Genomic DNA, 25,539 nt, shown 5'->3' with positions numbered 1-25,539 from the left:
TTGGGTGTGCCCTCCGTACCTGCCCTGGGATCTGAGACCTCCCCAGGCTCCATCCCAGCTTCTTGCACACAGGTGGAGCTGTGAGTTTGGGGAGATGGAGAAAGGCCGGGAGATCAAGGCAGACTAATGATATTGTGGGTTCCCCCTGCCCTCCTGTGAGGTGGCCACGGGACAGTGTGTGGACTCCCCAGCTCCTTGCTGGGCTCCACTGGGCACTGTTCGAGGTCTAGTCAGGGCGTCCCAGGTCACAAGGGGGCATGGAGGAGGACACTTGTGGCCCTGGGCCACAGGGGACATTGGGCACCACATGTGAGGGTGTTTATCATGGAGGAGGTAGTGATTCCAGCAGCCGCCATTGATCCAGCACGTACTGTATGCCAGGCCCTGCCTTAGCGCCTGGCACAGAAACCTCATCTGGCCGCCTCCCCCGCTGCGGTGGGGCCTACCCCATCTCCGTTTCCTAGAGAGGGCCCTGCAGAGTGGCGAGGTAAAATGACTTGCCAAGCAAGGCAAGATCAGGACTCAAACCAGGCCTCTCTGTCAGAGCCTCCCATTTCCTCAGAACTCTCAGGAGGAAAGGGAGGTGAATTTTTCTGCACAGCTCCCAAAGGCCTTGACAGGGAGGTGGGGTTCAGCACACTACAGGAAAGAGTTTCCAGCAGCTGGAGCTATCCCCGAAGTGGAGGTAGTGAGCACCCCATCACTAGACATATGCAAGAAGAGACAGAAAGGGAAGCGTAGAGGGGATTGCAGTGTGGAGTGGAGGTTGGATGGGAGGACTTCAGAGTTCCCTTGCAGCTTAACAATGGCCTGTGAGGTGGCAGGGATGAGTCAGGGTATGCGTGTGTGGAGGGAGGGGTGGTGAGATGAAGACCAGGGAGAGGAAAGGGTGGACCTGAGGCCCCCATGGAGAAGGGACGGGCAGGATGTGAGTAATGGGAGAGGCAATCACCTATTCTCCTGGGCAATGCTTTGGGGGTGAGCAGCGGCAGACCAGGATGCCCCAGGGAATGGCCAGGTTTGGGCCATCTCTGGAAGTGACTGGTCCCCGGAGAGAGGTGGTGGGGCTATCTGCAGCTGAAGAAACGGGCAGGGCCAGAGAAACAATGCAAGGGGACTCCTGGGTTTTGGCTAAGTAGTTTTGGGGGAGCAGGTGAAGACGTGGGGATCCCTGGCCCAGCCAGGAGCTGCCCTAGTATAGGCCCAGCCCCAAGGGTTGTGTGGGGCAGTCTGGAGGTTTTGGCCTGGGAAGGGGTCGGGGGAAGGCTGTATAAAAAGCTTGAAAGTGCGGAACAGGTTGGTGGACCTGAACTCCACCTCCTCGAGTGGGCCCCCTGTATCCACACCCTTCCCAGTCCTGAGCCCAGAGTTATTCTAAACTCCCGCTGCTGGGAGAGGGGAACTGGGAACCACTAAATGGCAGAACAGCACCCTTTTCCGGCCATATCACCTGGGCCAGAAAAAAAAAAAAGAGGGGGCCCAGAGAAAAGCGGGCTGTTTCTGGGGCACCGCGGAGGCCGCAGATCAGAATCCAGCTTTTTACAATAGAGCGGAAGCGAACCTGGCTCAGGGCGATTCCGGGGCGGGCTAGGCCTGCGGGTCTCTCTGCCTGGTCCCCCGGGGCTTTTCTGTCGCGCGGAGGCTTCCTGTCGCGGGCCCTGGTCCCCCCTAGCCCCCTTCCGGGATGGGCGAGCTCCCGTCTTCAAGCCCAAGTTAATGACCAGGGACTTTGAACTTTTTGGAGATCTGCAAAGGGCTGGCCCCTCGGGGACAGTGACGCCCCCCACCCCCTCCCCTGAGCCCGGATCCTGGATTACCCCAAGCCACCGCCCGGCCTCCAGCCACCTCCCTGGCTCCGGCGCGGGGCCCTTCCTGGGACCCCTCCTCTCCCCGGTCCCAGCCGGGCGGCGCCGTTGGTACATCCCGGCCGGTCCAGGTGGTAGCGCCCGCGCGGCTACCGTAATTCCCCTACGTCCCGCGCCCCAGTTTGCGCTGAGTCGACTGAGCCCGTCCCGCGGCTCCCGTCCCCCTCTCCCCGCGCGCCCCATGAGGCTTTGGCAGTCTCGGCCCGAGCCTTAGAGCCTTAGACACCGGGGAGGAGACCCTGGTCCTGTTCCTAGGTGAGTCGCGGGGAAGTGGGAGCTGCGCTCCGGACGGGGGGTGGGACTAGGCGCCAGGACCCCCCTAAACCGATGGACAGAACCCGGATTCGAGATTCCCACGTAGTGCCAGGCCTGTGGGTGGGTACAGGGTCCTCACCAGCTGTATCTCCATTTACGTGAGGGTGGAATGGGTTCAAGCTCCCGCCCCCATCACAGTGTCTCTAGGGTGGGTCGGCTCGGAGATAGGGCCGTGAGGAGTCTATGGGACCCTGGCCCCGGTATGGGGGGTATTGGCGGGGCAGGGGGATCCTGGAGGGGCCCGGGCGCGCGGCGTGGCTGGGAGGCTCAGCCGATCCTCCCCATCTGGCCAGTCCCGGAGTCGGTCCCAGGCGGAAAAGCCCTCTCGAGGCCGGCAGGGGGCGCCAGAGGCTGCGCCTCGGGCAGTCTGAGCAGACCCAGGCACCCACTTAGGGGTGGGGGATGCGGGAGACCCGTGAATCCGGGGAGGCCCTGGCCTGCCTTGGTGGAAGTCTGGGAAATGGAGGCCAAGAGGTCCCCTGCAGATTCCTTAGTAACTCCTCAAGTTGAGGGAGCTCGGGGGTATTTTACCATTCTCCTGCCCTTTAGCCGGGGTCCGGGCACACACTAGGACCTGGCAGCCATCCCCAGATACTGAATTCTATGCCCTCTTGGCACAGGTGGGCAAATTGAGGCCCAGTAGGGGAAGGGTGGGGGAACGTAGGCTCCAGACCAGGTCTTCTGAAGCCCAGGCAGGTGCCCTCTTTCCCCCGCTCCCTACCAAGGAGGCTTCTAAGTTGCACCGGGGAAGGGCTTGCTAGTCCAGGTGCTCCGAAGACACACGCTGGGGTCTGGGGCTGGGAACTGCAGAGGCTGGGCAGGAGGGGATGTTCACAGACTGCAGCCCCTCCCTCTTTCTCTAGCACTGGGTCCCAGCCTTGGGCATACTAGCCAGGACCGCTCCCTGGGGAGGAAGGGGCCTTCCTGGCTTCCAGGGCCCGTGCGGTGGGCTTAGCCTGGGGAGAGGTTTTCTGTGTCCCTGCCATCTGCCCGGCACAGGGCAGGGCCTTAGGTCAGGCTCTGACTCCAGGTGAGCCTCAGAACCCAAGGGGTGATGGGTGAGGCCTGGGCCTAGGGGAAAGGAGGGTGGGTAGGCCGGGTGGAGCGTAGAGAGCCGCCTGGCAAAGCCACCCCGCCCTGGCTGGCCTGCCCATGCATGCAGTCTCCACCCCTGGATTTCTAAGGTGTTGGGTGGGGCCTTGGGACTAGCAGGCTCCCAGGGGAGCTTAGCCTTGGTGGGAATTCCTGGCAAGGACATCCCTCCAGCCAGAGAGCTCGGACTCCTGGTTCCAGGCCCGTCTGCTGTCGGCAGAGCCTGGAGCTGGCCCCAGACCTGCGTCCTTTCCTGGACAGGGAAGTCCCTCTCCCACCCAGACCAGGCTGGGGCCCCAGCTCGTTGTGGGGCAGGGATGCCTGGGGGATCCCTGGTTTCCCATCTGCTTTTCTGGGGCTGGGGGAGGTGATACTGAGGGAGAACAGCCGGGTGCGGGGGTCCTGCCTTGGAGACTCCATTATTCATCAGCCTCCGCATCTGGTTTCTGGGTATCAGTTTCAACAAGCCGGCCCTGACTCACAAGCCTGGAGCTGGGGCTGGGCTGGGGAGGGGCTCCCTCCCCAGGGAGTTGGGGGCCAGGACTTCTTGGGCCTGCCCCTGAGCTGTTTCAGCTCCCTGCTGTGGAGAGGAGGTGGGAATGCAGGAGCCTGCCCAGGCCCACCCCACTGCCCTGGTACAGGGGCTGGGGGCTCCTTTCTGCTCTGCACTCTTGCCCCTAAGGAACAGTCCCCCACCCTTGCTGAGTACCCAGGCAGCAGCCTCACTCAGGGATGGCCAGGGCCCAGGCACTCAGGTGACCTCTGGTGATCCGCCCTGACCCAGCCCTGGTGGTCTCCACTTGATGCAACCTGGTTACCCCACACCGGTGGGCTCCCCACAAGCTGGCTTTGGGATCTGCCGTGTCTTCAGGAAGGCAATCTCCAGGGCCCTGTTGCCCAAACCAACATTCAGCTGTCTTCAGGCCCCACGCCTGCCCTGTGCCTGAGGCACCCATTTCCCTACGTAGCAGCAGCTGGTGACTTTGGGGCAAGTCAGTTGACACAGGCCTTAGTTTCTCTATCTGTTAAATGGGGATTGTAACAGTATCTCCTCCTAAGAGTCTTTGAGAAGAGCGAATGGGATTCACTGCCTGGAACTCCCACGATGGGGTGGCACATGGAATGCTCAGTGAAATGCAGTTATCTGCCTACAGGACAGTATGGGGGTGGAGGTCTGGGGCAAGACCACCCGATTTGAAGTAGGAACTCACCTGCCCAGGGCCAGCAGGCCCAAGGTCATGGATACTAGGAGGAGGAAGAGACCTTCGGTCTGGCAGTGGGGAAGGCTCTGTTGACTGTCGGCCACAGGAAGGGATATCCTGGCCGAGCCCTTTCCTGTCCCCATGTCCTTCTGTGGCATGAAGGCCCTTCTGCCTTCATCTGTTCACTGATCTCATCCCCACCAAGCGCACCTACTGTGCACCAGGACTGTTCTAAGTGCCGAGGACACAGTGAGATGCAGACGGCCAAGGCGCTGGCTTCTGGAGAGGACAGTCTGGTAGGGAAGAATGATGATAAAAAAGTGAACAAAGAAATGAATTACAGGTAGTAATAAACACTAAGAAGGAAATAATTTAACTTAAAGGAATTGAGAGTGGGAGGGTAAGGGTGGTTTATTTTAAGATGAGGGAAAAGGACGTCTTAGAGGTAACATTTAAGTTGGGGCCCGGTGTCAGCTGTTTCAAGATAGGGTGCGTGGAATTCCAGACAGAAAATACAGAGGAGAAGGCCCTGAGCTTGGCGAGCTGTAGGGAGAGAAGGAAGACCGGCAGGTGGACCCTGTGCGGACCAGCTGGGAGGGAGGCGGGAGCCCGGCCATGGTGGGATTTCACTATAAGCAAGATGGGAAGTTTTAGTTTTCAAAACTCTGCCTGTTGGCCGGGTGTGGTGGCTCATGCCTGTAATCTCAGCACTTTGGGAGGCCAAGGTGGGGGTGGATCACTTGAGATCAGGAGTTAGTGACCAGCCTGGTCAACATGGCGAAACCCCATCTCTACTAAAATACAAAAAGTAGCTGGGTGTAGTGGCGGGCGCCTGTAATCCCAGCTACTGGGGAGGCTGAGGCAGAAGAATCACTTGAACCTGGGAGGTGGAGGTCGTAGTGAGCTGGGATCATGCCACTGCACTCCAACGTGAGTGACAGAGCAAGATTCCGTCTCAAAAACAAACAAACAAAAAACAAAAACACAACTCTGCCTGTGGTGTAGACAGTGGGTGACCTGGGCTTTGGGAGTGGAGACAGCCCTGGAAGTCTCCCAGCCTCTAATAAAACGCTGCTGCCCTCCCAAAGCCATCTCACGGACCCTGGCCCCCTTCCCACCCTCTTTCCCCATGGAACCAGGTGGAGGAGGAGCAATTAGGGGTGGGTGGGCTGATGACAGACAGCATGGCCACCTCACCCCCATGGGTTCTGAGGAGTGTCCCAAGGAGGCCATCCCAGAATCCCAGAGCCACAGTCTGAGTTTCAGTCTTGCCTGTAGACTTTTGTCTCTTTATGTCACTTTATCCCCCACGCCGTGAATGGGGCTAATGGTGCCTGCCCTGCCTTCCTGGGAATCAGTGTAAAAGCGCTTTGACAGCCGTGTAGTGGTGACTCCAGCACCAGAGTCTGGGCGTTTGCGTCCTCTCAGGCTTTGCTGAGTGCCCCCTGGCGGTGGGGACCTGGCCTAGAACTGCAGGGACCTGGGCTGCTGTGCCATGTGGGTCGCCAGGGTTTCCTGATGCCTCCACCTCACCCAGCTCCTGGGGGCTGCCAAGGATAGCCTCTCAGAGCAGCCCGCCTTCTGCCCACGGCCCTTTCCAGAGGCCACCGGCCTTTGGCTCTCGGCCTCTGCCGTACCTGGGCAGTGAGCAGTCGGTGTGAGGGGGTGTCCCTGGGGCTCAGGCTCTCGGGCAGGGGTCTCCAGGTTGATGGGAGGGGCTGAGATGAGAGCTGGTTGTGAGGTTGGGGTGGGTGTGTGACTGGGGCTCAAAGCTGGTGTTGGAGCAGAGAGGGGTGTCCCTGGGGCTAGATGGAGAGCCGGACCAAGGACCCTGAGGGGAGTGTGCCCCATCCTGGCCTCCCCCTTCTGGTGCCTGTATTCTAAGAGCTCCCTTGCTGGGAGTAAGAAGGGGTCCCCTGGGCTGAGGCTCCGAGGCGGGGGTGGGGGTCTCCAGGAGGAAGGGAGGAGGGAAGGTACCCTTCTGGCTGGGAGGGACCGTGCGTGTTGGCGCTGAGGGTGAGGTGGGGACCACAGCAGAGTGGGCACCCCCAGGGCTGGGCGGGGATCGAGTCACCCAGGGGAGGGGCTCCACAGTCTCCAAGGTGGGGGGGGGTGTCACCAGCGCCCCCTGCCTCCAGCATTCAAGGAGCTCCCCAGGAGAAAGAGCAAGTTCTGAGGAGCCCTCTGAGCCCGGCATTGGTGTTGAGGAGGGAGTCAGAGAAGAGAGGGGCCCGGGGCCGCGCAGAGGCGCAGAGGTGGGGGTACCCCGGGCCAGGCAGAGGTGGGAAGGTGGGGGTCCCGGGGACTGGGCGGAGGCGGGGCTGTGGGGGTCCCCCGGCCGGGCAGAGGTAGGGGTGTGGAGTCCCCGGGTCTGGGCAGAGGCGGGGAGGCGGGGGGTCGCCCGGGCAGGCGGAGGCGGGGGTGTAGGGGTTCCCGGGCGGGGAGGCGGGGATCCCCGGGGCTGGGTGGCGAGGGCCCGGGCGGGAGGGAGGTGTCCGCCTTCCTGGGGGGCTGGGGGCTGTTCCGGGCCCGGCCCTCCCCGGGGTCCCCGCGCTCGGCGGGGGCGGGCGCGGCCGCACAATGGCAGGAAGCGGGGCTCCGCGCTTTGTCCGGCGGGCGGCGCAGACCGCGGCTTCCTCCGGCCGCCATGGGGACAGGACCCGGTGTCTCCGGACGCCTAGCAGCCTCCAGGCCGGGCCCGGGGCTGCCCCTCCGGGACTCGGAGCCCTCCTGGGCCGGGGGTCGTGCCCGCGACGGTGATAGCCAGGTACGGGGCCGGGACGGGGCGGGAACGGGGCTGGGTGCCCAGTTCTCGCCTGCAGCCGCCCAGTCCTGTGCGGGAGGCCAGGGAGGGGGTGCCCGTGACTATGGGCCCCGCGGCCCCCAGGGGAAGGATGCGGCCCATGGCGGCCGAGCCCCCTACCTGGGCAGCTGCACCCTGGTGACGGGGACCTCGGACTCCGGGGTGTGTCCCCGCCGGCTGAGATGTCCCCGCCAATTCTTGGCGCTTTGTGTCTGGGGCCAGCTCCGGACACACCTGTGGGTCCCGGGCCCTATGCTGGGCCGCCCCTCTCCTTTCCTTCCTCTGCCCTGGCCCTGCCCACAGCCTCCTCCTACCCCAGAGGCCTCTGTTTCTCCTTGTGCCTCTGGCCCCAGCCCTTGTGTGAGGGTGGACGCCTGGTTCTCTGTCCCCATCCTCACATGCGTGTATTCCCCAAAGGGCCCCCCTCTGTTATTTTGGCTGCCTGGCGTTAGAGGGGGTGGGAGCTGGCTGTTCCCATGGGTGGGCTCTCTCCTCCCTTGGGTTGAGACCTGGGAACATTCCCCCCCGGACCCTGGTGTCCCTCCTGCAGGACAGAGGCAGGACATGGTGGGCAGGCAGGCAGGTGAGGGAGGGGCAGTTGGGTCTGAGAGAAGGGGCTGGAGTCTGGCTTCAAGAAGGGGCCATTCCGCCCTAGTGCTGGGGGAGTCCTGCCTCTGGAGGGAGCTGGGGAGACTCTGGGGTTTGGGGGTGGGACGTGAGGCAGAACGGGGAGCAGAAACTGCACCAGGGAGCTCTGCCCACCCCAGCTTCTCAGTTGGGCTCATGGTTCTCCCGGGGGGCTTCCAGAACTTCATCGTCAACCAGATCTGCTCGACGAAGTCGGAAACCACCTGGTTCAGATCCTGGGGCTGAGCCTCACTGTGCCCCCAGTGCCCCTGAGCCTGGGGACTGCTGAGAGGAGGGAAGCAGATGAGGTCAGCCGGGCCTGGGCACCAGCCCCTGGCAGCAGCTGGAGGAGTCGAGCAGCCTCAGTGATGGTAGTGGCCACCCAGACCATCACAGCAGGGAAACTGATCTCGAGGCTTTCAAGGGATCCAGGGTGGGGTGCGTCATAGGGCTCAGTCCGTATTTGTTGAATACTGACTCTTCCGTAAGGAGCGAATCAGGGTATCAAATCTGCTGTCTGTATATTGGATTGATTTAAAAACAAGATGGTGGCACAGAGTCAGACTTGGACTGGAAGGGTCCCAGAGACCCTCCCAGAACTCCTCCGACCTAGCACGGCTCCTTCCTTGTCACCCCCTACCTGCGGTGAGACCAGGGCTTGGGTCATGGGCAGGTCTGCCGCCCCAGCTGGCACTAGGAAATCTCAGGAGGCCTGGAAGGGATTGGAGCTGGGAGCCTCTGCCATGCTGGCTGGGTTCACAGAGGGCCAGAGGGCTGCGGAGCCCGCAGACGGGGGGCTCCCAGGAAGAGGGGACAAGGTGGGGCAGGGCCCTTCCCCAGATCATTCTCATGAGGAGACACCTGAAGCTTGGGCTCCCAGAAGCTGCAAAGCCTGATGTTTCTCTCAGCAGTGCGCTGTGGATTCAGGGTGAGGGTGTGGGTAGAGCCCTGGCTGAGGACAGCTTAGTGGTCTCTGTAGTTTTTAAATTTTTTTCTGAGACGGGGTCTCACTGTGTCGCCCAGGCTGGAGTGCAGCAATGTGATCATGGCTCACTGCAGCCTCAACCTCCTGGGCTCCAGCAATCTTCCCACCTCAGCCTCCCAAGTAGCTGGGACTACAAGAGAGCGCCACCACACCCGGCTAATTTTGTTTGTTTTTTGTAGAGGCAGGATCTCACTGTGTGGCCCGGGCTGGAGTTTTTGCACTTTGTTTTACGATAGATTAAGACAGAAACCAGAAAGAGCTGCAGGGGTTGAGGGATCAATCCCATCACCCTCACTTCAAGCCCCACAAGCACAGTTGAAGATCACTCCTGAAGGGTGTAGAAGTGGGGGCACCTGGTGCTCAAGGCTGCCTTCAGGAATCTGGGTCATCCTGTCCCCAGCCACCTGCCTGGGGCCCAGCTCCATGCAGATCAGCCCCTCCCTGAGCACGTGGGCCTGCTTGGAGTGCCACCTGCCGACTGCCAGTCCTGTGCCCTGTTCCCTTTCCTGTCAGATGGAGACACGGAGGGACACAAGAACCAACAGGGCTTGCATCAAACTGAGATAGATTTCCTCCTGTCCCCGTAATCCCGGCTGACCTGAGGCCAGCCTCTCGCTCCTAAGACACCCATGAGAGGGCGTGAATGTGGGTTAAAATCTGGGATCCAGTCTGGGTGCCGTGGCTCACGCCTGTAATCCCAGCACTTGGTGAGGCCGATGTGGGTGGATCACCTGAGGGCAGGTGTTCAAGACCAGCCTGACCAACAAGGTGAAACCCCGTCTCTACTCAAAATCCAAAAATTACCTGGGTGTGGTGGCGTGTGCTTGTAGTCCCAGTTACTTGGGAGGCTGAAACAGGAGAATTGTCTGAACCCAGGAGGCGGAGGTTGCAGTGAGCCAAGATCATGCCACTGCTCTCCAGCCTGGGCAACAGAGCGAGACTCTATCGCAAAAAACATAAATAAATACATAAATAAATAAATAATAATCTGGGATCCAGAGCCCCACACACAGTGGCTTCAAGTCCTAGATCCACTGGCTGTGTGACCTTAGACAAGTCATTTCACCTCTCTGAGTTTTACTTTCCTCTTGTGTGAAACAGGGACAATAACAGCCCTTATCTTATGGGATGAGATACACATGTAATGCCCCCAGTGTGGCTCCAGACACATGACGACCACATTAAAAACACACTCAGATTCTTCCCGGCCTCCTCCTCCCTCCTGTCACTTTCTCTGCTATCCTCACCACGCCTATCTCGGAAATCTCTCATCGGGCTTTCACCAGCCAGAAACTCTTCAGCGCCTCTCTCCTGCCTTAATTCATAAATGAAACAAGGATTTATGGAGCAGCTGGGACCGGAGGTCAGGCGCTGAATCAGACAGAGTAACATTTCTGTCCTTGCGAATGTGACCAGGTGTGGAGGCAGCAGGGTGGAATATGTGACCTGTCAGGTGCTGGAAAGTGCTGAGGACAGGAAAGGAGCGTGGAGGGCGAATGAGGAGGATGAGAAGGTGACTTGGGGGGAAGCTAGCAGGAGGGGAGGGAAGGCAGGGAGCCATGCATTTCAATATCTGGGGAAAAGCATCTCAGTCCAGGGACTGGCAGATGTCACAGCTCAGAGGTGGGAGCTGCCCTGAGGGAGTGTGTCCCGGAACGACCAGGAGGCCAGTGGGTGAGGGGAGTGAGCCAGGATGGAAGAGCAGGACAGGAGGTCCCTGAATGGGGTGGCCTTAACCCTAAAAAAAAAAAAAGTCAATGTCATAAAAGACTGAAAACCCTAACCTTAACCCTTTTGGCTTTTTTTTTTTTTTAAGATAATGTCTTCCCTGTAGCCCAGGCTGGAGTGCAGTGGCGCAATCTCAGCTCACTGCAACCTCTGCCTCCTGAGTTCAAACAATTCTCCTGCCTCAGCCTCCTGAGTAGCTGGGACTACAGGCGTGTGCCACCATGCCCGGCTAAGTTTTTGTGTTTTTAGTAGAGACGGGGTTTCACCATGTTAGCCAGGATGGTCTTGATCTCCTGACCTTGTGATCCGCCTGCCTCAGCCTCCCAAAGTGCTGGGGATTACAGGCATGAGCCACCGCGCCTGGCCTTTTTATTTACTTATATATTTATTTATTTATTTATTTATTTATTTATTTATTTATTTTGAGACGGAGTTTTGCCCCAGGCTGGAGTGCGATGGCACAATCTCGGCTCACTGCAACCTCTGCCTCCCGTATTCAAGCGATTCTCCTGCTTCAGCCTCCCGCGTAGCTGGGATTACAGGCATGCGCCACCATGCCCAGCTAATTTTGTATTTTTAGTAGAGACAGGGTTTCTTCCATGTTGGTCAGGCTGGTCTCGAACTCCCAACCTCAGGTGACCCGCCCGCCTCGGCCTCCCAAAGTGCTGGGATTACAGGCATAGCCACTGCTCCTGGCCCCTTTTGGCTTTTATTCAGAGTGAGATGGGAACCCTTGGAGGGTTTTGAGTAGATACAGTGGGACTCCTCTTTGAACAGGGCCCACTCTAGCTGCACATGGACAACATATTGTGGGGGATGGGGGTAGCAGTGAGGCCAGTTTTGAGGCCATTGTTGTCATCTAGCTAAAAGGTGGCTGGGCAGTGGCACGCTTATGAGCTGTGGCTGGGTTGAGGCCACAGATACTAAAGGTGGAGCCAGCGGGATTTTCGGGCTGACCAGATGGGGGCATAACAGAGAATGTCAAGAGTGACCCCAAGCTGATATGGTGGCTCACACCTGTAATCCCAGCACTAATTCCAGCACTTTGGGAGGCTGAGGCGGGCGGATCAGTTGAGCCCAGGAGTTCGAGACCAGGCTGTGCAACATGGCGAAATCCTATCTCTACTAAAAATTAGCTGGGTATGGTGGTACATGCCTGTAGTCCCAGCTACTTGGGACGGTGAGGCAGGAGAATCACTTGAACCCAGGAGGTAGAGGTTGCAGTGAGCCGAGATTGCGGCACTGCACTCCAGATTGGGTGACAGAGTGAGACCCTGTCTCAAAAAAAAAAAGGAAATCCCCCACCTTGCAGCCATCAGAAGAATCAAATAATTGATTTAGGTTAAAATCATCTATGTATGCTAAAGCTCTTAGGACCGCAAGCTCACATCACCATGCCTGGCTAATTTTTTTTTTTTTGGAGACAAAGTCTCGCTCTGTCACTCAGGCTGGAGTGCAGTGGTGTGATCTCGGCTCACTGCAACCTCTGCCCCCGGTTCAAGCAATTCTCCTGCCTCAGCCTCCTGAGTAGCTGGGACTACAGGCGTACGCTGCCACGACTGGCTAATTTTTTTGTATTTTAGTAGAGACGGGGTTTCACCGTGTTGCCCAGGCTGCTATCGAACTCCTGAGCTCAGGCAATCCACCCGCCTCGGCCTCCCAAAGTGCTAGGATTACAGGCATGAGCCACCGTGCCTGGCAATTTTTTATATTTTTAGTAGAGATGGGGTTTTGTCATGTTGGCCAGGCTGGTCTTGAACTCCTGACCTCAACTGATTGAGTGAGATTACTGGGGAACAAGACATCTCAAAGTGCCATGCCACAGATTACTTATTAATTATAGGGGAAAAAGGGACTCTACAAGGTACAGAGGTCCCCAGAGGATCCAGCATTACAGGCAAATAGCAAGAACACACAGCTCTGTGGTGTCCCCGCCTGAACGCTCAGTTTGAAACTTTCTGAGGACCACCAGGGAGATCCACATTGAGGAGCTCTGTGCGAGGCTGCTGGCTCGAAGACTTCCAAAATGTCAAGGTCAGCCAGGCACAGTGGCTCATGCCTATAATCCCAGCTCTTTGGGAGGTCAAGGCGGGCAGATTGCTTGAGCCCAGGAGTTCAAGACTAGCCTGGGCAACATAGTGAGATCTGTCACTACTAAAAATAAAAAAGTTAGTTGGGCGTAGTGGCATGCACCTAGTATTCCCAGCTACTAAGGAGGCTAAGGCAGGAGGATTACTTGAGTCCGGGAGGTTGAGGTTGCAGTGAGCTGATCATGCCATACTACTCCAGCCTGGGCTACAGAGCGAGACCCTGTCTTGAAGAAAAAAAAAAAGTCAATGTAATAAAAGACCACAAAAAACAAGGCTGGGCACGGTGGCTCACGCGTGTAATCCCAGCACTTTGGGAGGCCGAGGTGGGCGGATCACGAGGTCAGGAGATCGAGACCATCCTGGCTAACACGGTGAAACCCCATCTCTACCAAAAATACAAAAAATTAGCCGGGCGTGGTGGCGGGCGCCTGTAGTCCCAGCTACTCAGGAGGCTGAGGCAGGAGAATGGTGTGAACCGAGGAGGCGGAGCTTGCAGTGAGTCGAGATCGCGCCACTGCACTCCAGCCTGGGCGACAGAGCGAGACTCCGTCTCAAAAAAAAAAAAAAAAAAAAAAGGATAAACAGACATAACCAAATGCCACGTGTGAAACTTGATTAGTTCCTATATGAGGAAGTATATCTGTAAGAACGTTATTTAGACACTTGGGAAAATGTCAATATAGACTATATATCAAGGTTCAGTTTCCCAAGTGCGACAATTCTATGGGGTTTTGTAGGAAAACTGTCTTTGTTCTTAGGCAGCAGCATGATTTCTGCCCCAGGGGAGGGGGGTGCCGAGAAGAGAATGGGAGAGAAGCAGATGTGGTAGATATCAACTTGGGGAGTCCAGAGGGCATGTGGATGTCATGTGCTATTCTTATAATTTTTGGTAGGTTTGAAATATTTTAAAACAAGTCTGGGCGCGGTGGCTCACGCCTGTAATCCCAGCACTTTGGGAGGCCGAGGCAGGCGGATCACCTGAGACCAGGAGTTCAATACCAACCTGGCCAACATGGTGAAACTCCGTCTCTACTAAAAATACAAAAATTAGTCGGGCGTGGTGGATTGTGCCTGTAATCTCAGCTACTTGGGAGGCTGAGGCAGGAGAATCACTTGAACCCGGGAGGCGGAGGATGCAGTGAGCTGAGATCGTGCCATTGCACTCCAGCCTGGGCAACAGAGCGAGACCCCTTCTCAGAAAAATTTAAAAAAATAAAAAGAAAAGAAATATTTTAAAACAAAACTTGGGAAAAATAAAGAGAGTGGGAGGAGAGAACTAGGAAGTCGTGAATACTGATACCTGTTTACAGAGTTTAGCTGTGAAGGGAAAGAAAGAAAGTCAGCCGTAGCTGGAGGGTGAGGTGAGGCCTCTGTAAAATGGAGAAATAAGGCTGGGCGTGGCAGCTCATGCCTGTAATGCCAGCATTTTGGGAGACCAAGGTGGGCGGATCACTTGAGGCCAGGAGTTTGAGACCAGCCTGGGCAACATGGTGAAACCCCGTCTCTACAAAAAATACAAACACTCGCCTATGGTGGTGTGTGCTTCTAGTCCAAGCTACTCGGGAGGCTGAGGCTCGAGGATCACGTGAGTCTGGGAGGTCAAGGCTGCAGTGAGCCATGATTGTGCCACTGCACTCCCTGTCTCAAAGAAAGAAAGAAAAAAAAAGATGGAGAAGCCGGGCGCGGTGGCTCACGCCTGTAATCCCAGCACTTTGGGAGGCCCAGGCGGGCTGTTCACGAGGTCAGGAATTCGAGACCAGTCTGGCCAACACAGTGAAACCCTGTCTCTACTAAAAATACAAAAAAAAAATTAGCTGGGCATGGTGGTGTGCGCCTGTAATCCCAGCTACTGGGGAGGCTGAGGCAGGAGAATTGCGTGAAACCAGGAGGCGGAGGTTGCAGTGAGCCGAGATCAAGCCATTGCACTCCAGTCTGGGTGACAGAATGAGACTCTGTCTCAGAAAAAGAAAAAAAAGAAAAAGATGGAGAAATAACCACGTGTTGGTGTGGCAGTGGGGGAAATGATCCAGCAGAGGGGAAACTTGATGATGTGGGAGAGGGGGGACTGCTGGGGGGCGTCTCCTCACCCTGGATCGAGAGATGGAGGGCAGTTCATTCTAAGTCCCTGCAGCGCTGGGCCGGGGTCGAGGGATGTGGTGGATCTCGTGGACCTCCTGAAGGCTTCTGTCCCCACCCCAGGTATGTCACCACGCCGACTGCCAGCAGCTGCACCGCCGGGGGCCCCTCAACCTCTGCGAGGCCTGTGACAGCAAGTTCCACAGCACCATGCATTATGATGGGCATGTCCGCTTCGACCTTCCCCCACAAGGTGAGCACAGGCGGGAGCCGCAGCTCGGCCCCCAGAGCTCCTGTGTCAGTGTTTCAGTAACTGTCGGAAACGTGCTAGGGCGTCATAAGGACAAGTCGACTGTAAATAATGAAACCCGAGTATGTTACGGTTCCTTTTGTTCCAAATGTTTTTTAGCAAGAGAGAAAGTCCATGAGCGTGCCCCTTCCAGAGGCAGGCCTTTCTCTATCTGGTGCTGTGCTCTCACTGGTTCTCACCTCCCCCAGCTGCTTTTGCCCCTGGCCTGTGGCCCACACAGAGAAGGCCCCTTTCTTTCTAGTTCTGCCTATCCTCAGGGCAGGGGACTTCTGGACAAGTCCTGCAAGCCAGGCTGTGGGCCTAGCAGAGGCAGTGTGGAGTGGGGGTGGCCAGGTCAGGAGGCACTTGGAGCAGGAAATAAGAAATTCCTCTTGCTGAGCAGGGACCCAGCTCAGGCCCACCATCAACTGCCTATGGAGGAGTGGCTCGCAGGCACCCAGGCCTGGTGAGAAATGCCAACCCCCGAGTCCTTTCCCAGCTGATCAGAGGAACAAAAGGATTCTTCTGGTTGGGCACGGTGGCTCATGTCTGGAATACAAAAAATACAAAAATTAGCCAGGTGTGGTGGCACACACTTGTGGTCCCAGCTGCTCGGAGGCTGAGGTGGAAGGATCGCTTGAACCCCGACAATGGAGGCTCCAGTGAGCCCTGATCGTGCCACTGCACTCCAGCCTGAGCGACAGAGCAAGACCCTGTCTTAAAAAACAATAAACAAACAAAAGACTCTCTCCCACTGCCAGGGCCCCTTGGGAATTCAGGTGTGGTCACAGCATGGGGGAGGGGAGGCCTGGAAGAAAGAGCCATGGACTTTGGTCCCTTCCTGTAATAACCTCAGAGGCAAGGCTTCCTTATCCTTATTTTATAGAAGGGTAAACTGAGGCCACAGGTGAGTTTGTTTTTGGGGTGGAGCTTCACCATGGGTGTCATCCCAGGGCCTTTGTGTCCTTTTGGGTCTGTGGGGATAGACAGCAATGACTAAGGCCAGGCAAGGTGGCTCACACCTGTAATCCCAGCCCTTTGGGAGGCTGAGGTGGGTGGATCACTTCAGGTCAGGAGTTTGAGAACAGCCTGGCCAACATGTTGAAACCCTGTCATTACTAAAAATACAAAAAAATGAGCCGGGTGTGGTGGCACACGCCTGCAATCCCAGCTACTCAAGAGGCTGAAGCATGAGAATTGCTTGAACCCAGGAGGTGGAGGTTGCAGTGAGCCGAGATCATGCCACTGCACTCCAGCCTGGGTGACAGAGTGAGACCCTATCTCAAAACAAAAACAAAAAACAATGACTGAGCCCCTCTCCTCACAGAACTGAAGGGCCCTTGCTACCTTTAATCTGGGGGTTCCAGGGTAACAGGCTGTGGTCCCTCTGGAGGCAGCCATGCTGCAGGCTAAGGAGGGGCGGGGGAGGCACAACCCTCTCCTGCTTTCTCCCAAGGCTCTGTGCTGGCCCGGAACGTGTCCACCCGGTCATGCCCGCCGCGCACCAGCCCCGCAGTGGACTTGGAGGAGGAGGAGGAGGAGAGCTCTGTGGATGGCAAAGGGTAGGTGAGGGATGAGTGGGCAGAGAGATACCTGGAGGGCCCCACGGCTGGGTCTCAGATCAGACATTCAGGACCAGATGCTCTGGCGCCTTCCTCAAGTAAGGCTGATGGGCAGACCTCTTCCCACGCCTGTGGCTGTCCTGACTCCGGGAAGAGGCCACCCAGCCTGGGCCAGCCTCCAGGGTGCTTGGGATCCTAGCCCACACCAGACCAGGTACCGTTCGATGTGACTCCCGTGTTGGCCACCAGAGGGCGCACAGCCCTATGCGGGCCTGGCCGGGTTGAATCCACGCGGGTTACCTGTCACCTGGGGTGAGCCAAGGGCGGGGAGGCCACAGGCCCACTCGCCGCCCACGCTGGCGAGGGCCACCCACACCTCCAGCCTCTGCCCTCCTCGCTTCCCTGCAGGGACCGGAAGAGCACAGGCCTGAAACTCTCCAAGAAGAAAGCAAGGAGGAGACACACGGATGTGAGGAGCCCCCCAGAGCCGGCAGATGCGGGTTCCCTACAGCCTGCGCCCTTCCCCGAGCCTGGGCCTTCCTCCGGGATGGGGGTGGGGAGGTCTGCATCCCAGGGTGCAGAGGTCTGGGAGATCGCTGGGGTTCCCTTTCTTGCTGGGGTTCCCATCCGAGACCGGAGGGTGGGGAGGGTGGGGAGGAGGGTTGGGAAGGAGGGTGGGAAGGAGGGTGGGGAGGAGGGTTGGGAAGGAGGGTGGGAAGGAGGGTGGGGAGGAGGGCGGGAATGAGGGCGGTGAGGAGAAGCTCACAGCCCCCACCCCCACCATCCTCCCAGGACCCAAGCAAGGAATGCTTCACTCTGAAATTTGACCTGAATGTGGACATTGAGACAGAGATCGTCCCAGCCATGAAGAAGAAGTCACTGGGGTAGGGCTTGATGGGGCTCAGGGTGGAAGTGGGACTGGGAGTAGGGGTGGCCCCATGTTGCAGGCTCCGGGTCTCTGCAGGTGTGACGTGTGTGTCTGTGTGGTGGCCCGTGAGCGAGCGCATCCCTGCGTGGGCAGACCCGTGCTGGTGTGCACGCCAGTGTGAGGGAGTGCGGTGGGGTCTGTGTACTTGTGCATTTTAATCATGTATGCAGGAGCCAGGCCTGCGTGTGGGCAGGCGTGTGACAGGTCTGCCGTGGTATGCAGATGCGCCTGTGTGAGCACCTCTGCGGGCAGGTGTCTGTGGACCTGCGTGTGATCCCATGCGGGCTTCCCTTTTCCGTTGGGAAGGTGGGGGCAGCTGGGGCTGTGGGTGGGGCGGGGGCTCGTGGGGGCGGGGCCCAAGCTGAAGCGACTGGCCGCCTGGTTCTAACACACATGCCTCCTGTCCTGGGGGCAGGGAGGTGCTGCTGCCTGTATTTGAAAGGAAGGGCATTGCGCTGGGCAAAGTGGACATCTACCTGGACCAGTCCAACACACCCCTGTCCCTCACCTTCGAGGCCTACAGGTTCGGGGGACACTACCTTCGTGTCAAAGGTGAGAAGCAGCCTGGGCCAAATGGGGCCGCTGGGACTGGCGGAGCCTCCTGGAGATGGGCGCCCTTCCCAGGCTCAGGTTCCCATTGGTCGTGGGCCTGAGCAGCCTCATTACCATACAGGTGTCTCTGCTGGATGCTGCTGGGGGAGGGGAGGGTGCTGGCAGGGCGGGGCTGTCGGGGGAGGGCAGGCAGGCCTTGGTGTGGATCCTCCGGGGAGAGAGGACCGGGGACCCCCTCCTCCACCAGACCAGGGTACTGAGGATCTCTCGTGGCCCCCACATGCAGCCCCAGCCAAGCCTGGAGATGAGGGCAAGGTGGAGCAGGGCATGAAGGACTCCAAGTCCCTGAGTTTGCCGATTCTGCGGCCAGCTGGGACCGGGCCCCCCGCCCTGGAGCGTGTGGACGCCCAGAGCCGCCGGGAGAGCCTGGACATCTTGGTGAGGAGGAGGGGGTGTGTCAGGGGAGGGGGTGGGAAGGGGCCCAGGCTGGGCCCACAGCCCCTCCTCAGAGGCAGTCACCCTGGGTCTCTCACTGCCCCATCTTGGGGTTTTAATTGTCCCTTCTGGAAAATGGGGTTGGCTGGGAGAGTAGGGGACCCTCTCTCTCTGGATCTAGCCATAGCCCAAGGTGAGGGCTTGTATCTGAGACTCTTCTAGTGCCAGGGGTCAGGGAACCTGTGTGTGCATGTGTGTGTGAGAGCACTTGTACCTGGGGCTACAGACCACCCAGAGCTGTGTTCCAGAGTGCATCTGAGTGTGTAACTCTGTGCTTCATGCTTGAAGCTGGGGGACTGGGGGATGATAGTCTGGGCGTATCTGTGTCTGGACCTTCCAGTCTCCAGATATGTCTGGGTCCCAGGAGAGGGGACACCCCAGGGTAGAGATGCAGAGACCCTCCTCCATCCCAGGCTGGCCTGAGGCCCTGGAAACCCGCCCTGGGGTGGGGCCATGGGGGCTGGCAGGGGGTCCCGGCCCTGACCACCCTTCCCTGACCAGGCCCCTGGCCGCCGCCGCAAGAACATGTCGGAGTTCCTGGGGGAGGCGAGCATCCCCGGGCAGGAGCCCCCCACGCCCTCCAGCTGCTCTCTGCCCAGCGGCAGCAGTGGCAGCACCAACACTGGCGACAGCTGGAAGAACCGGGCGGCCAGTCGCTTCAGCGGCTTTTTCAGCTCCGGCCCCAGCACCAGCGCCTTTGGCCGGGTATGTGGCCCCATCTGCCCAGGGTCAGGCAGCTGGCTGGCCATGACCCCTGACCCTGACCAGGGTATCTTTCCAGGAGGTAGACAAGATGGAGCAGCTGGAGGGCAAGCTGCACACCTACAGCCTCTTCGGGCTGCCCAGGCTGCCCCGGGGGCTGCGCTTCGACCATGACTCCTGGGAGGAGGAGTACGATGAAGACGAGGATGAGGACAATGCCTGCCTGAGGCTGGAGGACAGCTGGCGGGAGCTCATTGATGGGCATGAGGTGAGTGCGGGCCACAGTGCTGCTCCCTCCTTGTCCCGAAAGGAGGACAGCCCTCGGGAGGACCCAGTGATCAGATGTTCCATGGGACGCCCCAAAGAGGCCACTGTTACCATTAGCCCACTTTGGAGACACTGAGGCTAGATGAAAATGGTGTGCTGCTTGGCTGTTTTAATGGCAGAGGAGGGCCCAGATCTTGGGTGTCTTAACTGTGATTACTCATGTGGTGTCAAGGGTGACCCTGCTCCTCTTGGGACCTCCATGTCCCCATTGGGAAAATGAGAGTTGCATGCAGGTTGCTTATCCTCCCCGGCCACCCTAAGGTGCTCCAGGCCTCGTGAATGACCCATCCTGCCCTCCCTCTAGAAGCTGACCCGGCGGCAGTGCCACCAGCAGGAGGCGGTGTGGGAGCTGCTGCACACGGAGGCCTCCTACATCAGGAAACTGCGGGTGATCATCAACGTGAGTAGGGGCTGCGCTGGTCCCCGTGGCCACCCTGCCCCCCTCTTTCTGACAGCCCTCAGCTGAGTCTGAGCCTTTGCAGAAGGAGCAGGTGCCTGGCAATGAGGTGGGGGCAGGAAAGTCAGACAAGGGCTGCGCCCAGGGAGGAGGTGCCTCCTAGAGGAACCTGGGAGGGGGCTTCGGGCAGGTTTGTCAGGTTCAGCTGAATTAGCACAGGTGAGGCCTCATTCTTTCACTTTCGTTCAGTGGCTGTTTCCCAACACTTGCTGTGTGCTGGGTGCCCAGCAGGCCACGCCCTGGACGGGACAGAGTGAGCTGGCAGTGTAGGGATTTCGGCTCAGGGAGGGGAGCACCTACCCTGGGCTTGGAGCTTCCTGGAGGGAGGAAGCACCCTCAGAGGTGAAATCTGGAGGCTAAGCCAGGGCAGAGGTGGAGAAGGGAATTCCAGGCATGGCTTCAAAGCCAGTCTCCCCCGAGCTTCCCTCCAGGAGGGACCAGGGCAGTGTGACCTCGGGAGGGCTATGAGGACTGGGTCTTTCCTCAGGGTCTGGACTACCCAGGTGCGAAGGCCAAAGGGTACAGCCTTCTTATCCGTGGCTGCTGTGGGGCCTCCTGGAACGGGGAAGGGGAAGGAGTGGCAGGGGAGCCTGAGGCTGGGTGGGGCCCTAGGGCTGAGACAGCCTCCCGACCCCAGTCACACCATCCCCTGATCCCACAGCTGTTCCTGTGCTGCCTCCTGAACCTGCAAGAGTCAGGGCTGCTGTGTGAGGTGCGCTGGGATTCGGGGGCGGCGGCGGGTGAGGTACCAGGAAGGAGGGCGGGACCTGGACCTGGGGCGGGGCTAACCTGGCGGAGGGGCGTGGCCAACCGCACCTCCCGCCGCGCCCAGGTGGAGGCGGAGCGCCTGTTCAGCAACATCCCGGAGATCGCGCAGCTGCACCGCAGGCTGTGGGCTAGCGTGATGGCGCCGGTGCTGGAGAAGGCGCGGCGCACGCGAGCGCTGCTACAGCCCGGGGACTTCCTCAAAGGCTTCAAGATGGTACGGGCGGGGCCGGGCGCAGGCGGGGGCACTGAGGCAGGGCTGGGGCGCCGAAAAGCCTCCACGGCCCGATCCGGTCTGCCCAGCATCCCCAACCTCCCCCAGGCCCGTAACCGCACTTGACCCCTTGTGGCCAAGGGTGAGGAATTACGAGGCGGTCGCCCGGGTTTGAGCCTCCACCTGACCATCTACCCCTGATCCCTGGCCACGGGTGGTCACTTTGGCTGAGGCTCAGTTTCCTCATCAGGAAACAGGGATCATAAGCTTGCTGCCCCCTTGGGGTGGTCGCCCAAGTGCAGTAAGGAAGCGCTTGCGCAGCGCCTGGCGCGGGCCGGCCCGCAGGGAGCGCGCGGTAACCGGCGCCGTGGTTGTTCTGCCCCGGGCCAGTTCGGCTCGCTCTTCAAGCCCTACATCCGCTACTGCATGGAGGAGGAGGGCTGCATGGAGTACATGCGCGGCCTGCTGCGCGACAACGACCTCTTCCGGGCCTACATCACGGTGAGGGCGCGCGTGCCGTGGGCGGGGGCGCAGGAGGACGGGACCCTGGACGGGGCCGGGTGGGGCGGGGCCTGCCCTGAGCCCGCCCCCACTCCCCCACCGCAGTGGGCGGAGAAGCACCCACAGTGCCAGAGGCTGAAGCTGAGCGACATGCTGGCCAAACCCCACCAGCGGCTCACCAAGTACCCGCTGCTGCTCAAGTCGGTGCTGAGGAAGACCGAGGAGCCGCGCGCCAAGGAGGCCGTCGTCGCCATGGTAACCCTGATGGCCAGCGGGAGCCGTCCCCCCTGCGCGGCTCTCTGCTCCGTCATGACCCTGGACCTGAAGCTCCCTCACCTGCCCCTAGATCGGCTCCGTGGAGCGCTTCATCCACCACGTGAACGCGTGCATGCGGCAGCGGCAGGAGCGGCAGCGGCTGGCGGCCGTGGTGAGCCGCATCGACGCCTACGAGGTGGTGGAAAGCAGCAGCGACGAAGTGGACAAGGTGGGCGTGTGTGTCTGCGGGGGTTGCCGGCTGGGAGAGAGGAAGGCCCAGCTGGCAGGCAGGGGCTGTGCTGGGCATCTCACTGAGGATGCCTAGCTGAGATGGGAGTCAGTCTCTGGCCTCCCCTACGTTCACGCCATCCGTCCCCAGCTCCTGAAGGAATTTCTGCACCTGGACTTGACAGCGCCCATCCCTGGCGCCTCCCCGGAGGAGACGCGGCAGCTGCTGCTGGAGGGGAGCCTGAGGATGAAGGAGGGGAAGGACAGCAAGGTGATTCCAGGGCCACCCCACCCCTGTGCCCTGCCCTTCCTAGGGACCTCCTGGGCCCCAGTCACTGGTTCTCAGCTCTGCAGTCCCTTCGGTGGTTACTCAAGAACCAGTGACCTTGTCATAGTGAATGACAGTTCTCTGCCTGCCATTCACAAATCCAGCAGTAGGGTCCTAGCCCTTGAAGGCACCAGTTGTGCCCATTTGTTGGTGCCACATGGGTTCCTGGTGGGAGGGCAGCCATATTCCACAAGTGGGCCAGGAACCCCAGAGCCTTGCTACTGTGCCATGGCCCCTTCAGGCATGGGGCAGGCTGAGAGCTTGCACACGGTGACTTCAAAGTCACCAGTCTTCTTTTTAATGTAAACTTGTATTGAGATAAGTCATCAACGTACATCTCAGTGAAAGAGAATCATCTTCCTCTTCATTTTAATTTTACTTGAAGGTTCATGGTGGGAGGAGTGTTTGACAAAAACCGAGTGCTCCCAGGGGAGGCTGGTGCCACAGTCCCTGGCCCTGACCCTGCTGGCCTCTCTGGCCACCCCCCCTCCTGCCACTGCAGATGGATGTGTACTGCTTCCTCTTCACGGATCTGCTGTTGGTGACCAAAGCAGTGAAGAAGGCAGAGAGGACCAGGGTCATCAGGCCACCCCTGCTCGTGGACAAGATTGTGTGCCGGGAGCTACGGGACCCTGGTAAGGAGCCCTGGTCCCCTGTTCCTGGTCAGGGGCTGTGATGGGTGGGGGCCATCGTCTCTGCTGACACTGACTTGGGCCTTCCCTAACCAGGGTCCTTCCTCCTTATCTACCTGAATGAGTTTCACAGTGCTGTAGGGGCCTACACGTTCCAGGCCAGTGGCCAGGCCTTGTGCCGTGGCTGGGTGGACACCATTTACAATGCCCAGGTGAGTGCAGAGTAGTGAGTGGGTGGGCAAGGCAGATTAGGGAGATGCTGGTCACAACCCATTCTGTCCCATGTACCCCAACCTTGCCTGCAGAACCAGCTGCAACAGCTGCGTGCACAGGAGCCCCCAGGCAGTCAGCAGCCCCTGCAGAGCCTGGAAGAGGAGGAGGATGAGCAGGAGGAGGAAGAGGAGGAGGAGGAGGAGGAGGAGGAAGGCGAGGACAGTGGCACTTCAGCTGCCAGCTCCCCTACCATCATGCGGAAAAGCAGCGGCAGCCCCGACTCTCAGCACTGGTACGTCTGCTCATGACCACCCAGCAGGTCAAACCAGGACAAGTACTCTAGCCCAGGACTCCTGAAGGCCCAGCCACGCTCCCTTCCTCCCAATGGCCTCTTGTCATGAACACTGTGGGAGCGGGGCTCTGTCTCCCCCAGAGTCCGGGTGGGGAGGGCAGACACCTTTCCATGTGCTGCCAGCCCTGATCCATTCGTGGTAGCTGCCTGGGGTGCTGTGCTGAGGATCCTTAGGGCAGATCCAGCCTTGGCAGGGAAGAGTGCTGGGCTCGCTACTGAGGTCTGTTGTGGGCACTGGAGCTGGAAGATCTGCCACACCTGCCACATGCTGCCATCTCTGAGCCTCCAGCCCCAGGAGGGCAGAGGGTATAAACCACCGTGCATTGCCCAGCCTGGGGCTGCCTCAGGCCATCTAGGTTTCATGGCCTGGGCTGACTCTGCTCCTGGCCCCACAGTGCCTCAGATGGCTCCACGGAGACCCTGGCCATGGTTGTGGTAGAGCCTGGGGACACGCTGTCCTCCCCCGAGTTCGACAGCGGTCCTTTCAGCTCCCAGTCTGATGAGACCTCTCTCAGCACCACTGCCTCATCTGCCACGCCCACCAGTGAGCTGCTGCCCCTGGGTCCGGTGGACGGCCGCTCCTGCTCCATGGACTCTGCCTACGGCACCCTCTCCCCAACCTCCTTACAAGACTTTGTGGCCCCAGGCCCAATGGCAGAGCTAGTGCCTCGGGCCCCAGAGTCCCCACGAGTTCCTTCCCCTCCACCCTCGCCCCGTCTCCGCCGCCGCACCCCTGTCCAGCTGTTGAGCTGCCCGCCCCACCTGCTCAAGTCTAAGTCCGAGGCCAGCCTCCTCCAGCTGCTGGCAGGGGCTGGCACCCATGGGACACCCTCTGCCCCCAGCCGCAGCCTGTCAGAGCTCTGCCTGGCTGTTCCAGCCCCAGGTATTAGGACTCAGGGCTCCCCTCAGGAAGCTGGGCCCAGCTGGGATTGCCGAGGGGCCCCTAGCCCTGGCAGCGGTCCTGGGCTAGTCGGCTGCCTGGCCGGGGAACCTGCAGGCTCCCACAGGAAGAGGTGTGGAGACCTGCCCTCGGGGGCCTCTCCCAGGGTCCAGCCTGAGCCCCCACCAGGGGTCTCTGCCCAGCACAGGAAGCTGACCCTGGCCCAGCTCTACCGAATCAGGACCACCCTGCTGCTTAACTCCACGCTCACTGCCTCGTGAGTGGCCTGGACTGGGGTAGGGCAGGTGGCTCAGGGCACTGGCATGGGGGCCCACTCATGCCTGGGAGCATCGCATTTGGGGAGGGTCATGGCGGAGGGAGCCTGAACCCTGCCCAGTGTCTGGGCGCAGGGGGCTGTGGTGGGCAGCAGTGAAGGGGCCTGAGGAGTGCCGTGGGGAAGAGAGGGTGACCAGAGCCACTCTGAATGGCGTCAGCCAAAGAAGGACTCTGTCCCCTCCCCACCCTGTAGGGAGGTCTGAGCAGAGGGAGGCCCCCAAGAGTGCCATTGACCAAGAGACAGCAGACAGCCTGCCTCCTGGGGCGTGCCGGCACCTGCTTCAGCTACTGCCTCCTGTATGCATGAGCCGGATGCTGGGCAGGATCCCTGCCTACGCCCGGGCCCGATTTGCGCTTTGCCGGACTGGATGGAGTGGAGGAGGCCCAGGCCACAGTACCACCCCACCTGCCCAGGCAGCCCCTCGTCACCTACTCCCCGAAGTTACCAGCTCAGCTCGAGTCTTCAGGGCTGGGCTCCTAGGCTGCCCATCCTACTTCTACCCTCACTGGCCTCCAGTGGGATTCACTCCTGCCCTGCCCCCACCTTCCCAGTCCCACAGGCCACCCCTGGCTTGGGCTGGGTTCTGTGAAGTTACGTATTTATTGAGCTTTTGGTTCTTTTATAAAGACTTGTCTAGACTCCACTGGGAAGAGTCCTTTGCTTTGGGGCCCAGTGACTCGGGGCACTTGAGTTCAGGGCGGCCTCCTTGTGTTCCTGTGCTCCTCCACTTGCCACGGAT

At 59.6% G+C, this 25,539-nt stretch overlaps 1 protein-coding gene across 8 annotated transcripts in view, besides 6 other annotated features; it reads left to right on the top strand.

The window, feature by feature from the left end:
• PLEKHG5 (pleckstrin homology and RhoGEF domain containing G5) overlaps window positions 1-25,443 on the top strand; it is a 52,971-nt gene extending 27,528 nt beyond the window's left edge. For 3 of the 8 annotated variants that reach the window (NM_198681.4, NM_001042663.3, NM_001265592.2), the window contains exons 3-22: window positions 14,907-15,036; window positions 16,529-16,634; window positions 17,043-17,103; window positions 17,427-17,518; window positions 17,978-18,114; window positions 18,401-18,552; window positions 19,111-19,314; window positions 19,391-19,579; window positions 19,943-20,038; window positions 20,757-20,807; window positions 20,928-21,077; window positions 21,465-21,575; window positions 21,681-21,830; window positions 21,922-22,059; window positions 22,210-22,329; window positions 22,889-23,021; window positions 23,115-23,230; window positions 23,324-23,523; window positions 23,979-24,740; window positions 24,993-25,443. In NM_198681.4, the coding sequence (NP_941374.3) occupies window positions 14,994-15,036; window positions 16,529-16,634; window positions 17,043-17,103; window positions 17,427-17,518; window positions 17,978-18,114; window positions 18,401-18,552; window positions 19,111-19,314; window positions 19,391-19,579; window positions 19,943-20,038; window positions 20,757-20,807; window positions 20,928-21,077; window positions 21,465-21,575; window positions 21,681-21,830; window positions 21,922-22,059; window positions 22,210-22,329; window positions 22,889-23,021; window positions 23,115-23,230; window positions 23,324-23,523; window positions 23,979-24,740; window positions 24,993-25,002 (3,021 nt within the window). In that variant the 5' untranslated portion in view covers window positions 14,907-14,993 and the 3' untranslated portion in view covers window positions 25,003-25,443. Of the gene's footprint in view, window positions 1-897; window positions 929-1,984; window positions 2,121-6,613; window positions 6,730-7,097; window positions 7,242-14,906; window positions 15,037-16,528; window positions 16,635-17,042; window positions 17,104-17,426; window positions 17,519-17,977; window positions 18,115-18,400; window positions 18,553-19,110; window positions 19,315-19,390; window positions 19,580-19,942; window positions 20,039-20,756; window positions 20,808-20,927; window positions 21,078-21,464; window positions 21,576-21,680; window positions 21,831-21,921; window positions 22,060-22,209; window positions 22,330-22,888; window positions 23,022-23,114; window positions 23,231-23,323; window positions 23,524-23,978; window positions 24,741-24,992 lie in introns of those variants that run through there. The other 5 variants (NM_001265594.3, NM_020631.6, NM_001042664.2 and 2 more) reach the window with 5 other exon arrangements.
• Window positions 1,608-1,687: a silencer, noted in NCBI's record as "silent region_160". NCBI's record gives its function as "represses an Ori minimal core promoter by ATAC-STARR-seq in GM12878 lymphoblastoid cells {active_cell/tissue: GM12878}" and the evidence as "EXISTENCE:reporter gene assay evidence [ECO:0000049][PMID:35858748]".
• Window positions 1,748-1,837: a silencer, noted in NCBI's record as "silent region_159". NCBI's record gives its function as "represses an Ori minimal core promoter by ATAC-STARR-seq in GM12878 lymphoblastoid cells {active_cell/tissue: GM12878}" and the evidence as "EXISTENCE:reporter gene assay evidence [ECO:0000049][PMID:35858748]".
• Window positions 2,248-2,607: a silencer, noted in NCBI's record as "silent region_158". NCBI's record gives its function as "represses an Ori minimal core promoter by ATAC-STARR-seq in GM12878 lymphoblastoid cells {active_cell/tissue: GM12878}" and the evidence as "EXISTENCE:reporter gene assay evidence [ECO:0000049][PMID:35858748]".
• Window positions 14,603-15,802: an enhancer, noted in NCBI's record as "MED14-independent group 3 enhancer chr1:6536823-6538022 (GRCh37/hg19 assembly coordinates)". NCBI's record gives its function as "activates an origin of replication core promoter dependent on BRD2, BRD4, P300/CBP and CDK7 cofactors, and independent of MED14, by STARR-seq in HCT116 cells {active_cell/tissue: HCT116}" and the evidence as "EXISTENCE:reporter gene assay evidence [ECO:0000049][PMID:35650434]".
• Window positions 17,159-17,679: an enhancer, noted in NCBI's record as "H3K27ac-H3K4me1 hESC enhancer chr1:6534946-6535466 (GRCh37/hg19 assembly coordinates)". NCBI's record gives its function as "activates a minimal SCP1, AML or CMV promoter by ChIP-STARR-seq in primed H9 embryonic stem cells {active_cell/tissue: H9 hESC(primed)}" and the evidence as "EXISTENCE:reporter gene assay evidence [ECO:0000049][PMID:30033119]".
• Window positions 17,680-18,201: an enhancer, noted in NCBI's record as "H3K27ac-H3K4me1 hESC enhancer chr1:6534424-6534945 (GRCh37/hg19 assembly coordinates)". NCBI's record gives its function as "activates a minimal SCP1, AML or CMV promoter by ChIP-STARR-seq in primed H9 embryonic stem cells {active_cell/tissue: H9 hESC(primed)}" and the evidence as "EXISTENCE:reporter gene assay evidence [ECO:0000049][PMID:30033119]".

The sequence above is a fragment of the Homo sapiens genome, chromosome 1, assembly GCF_000001405.40.
Source record: "Homo sapiens chromosome 1, GRCh38.p14 Primary Assembly".
NCBI classification, from domain to species: domain Eukaryota; kingdom Metazoa; phylum Chordata; class Mammalia; order Primates; family Hominidae; genus Homo; species Homo sapiens.
Note: the sequence above shows the minus strand (reverse complement) of the source record. Positions and strands in the feature narration are given on the sequence as shown.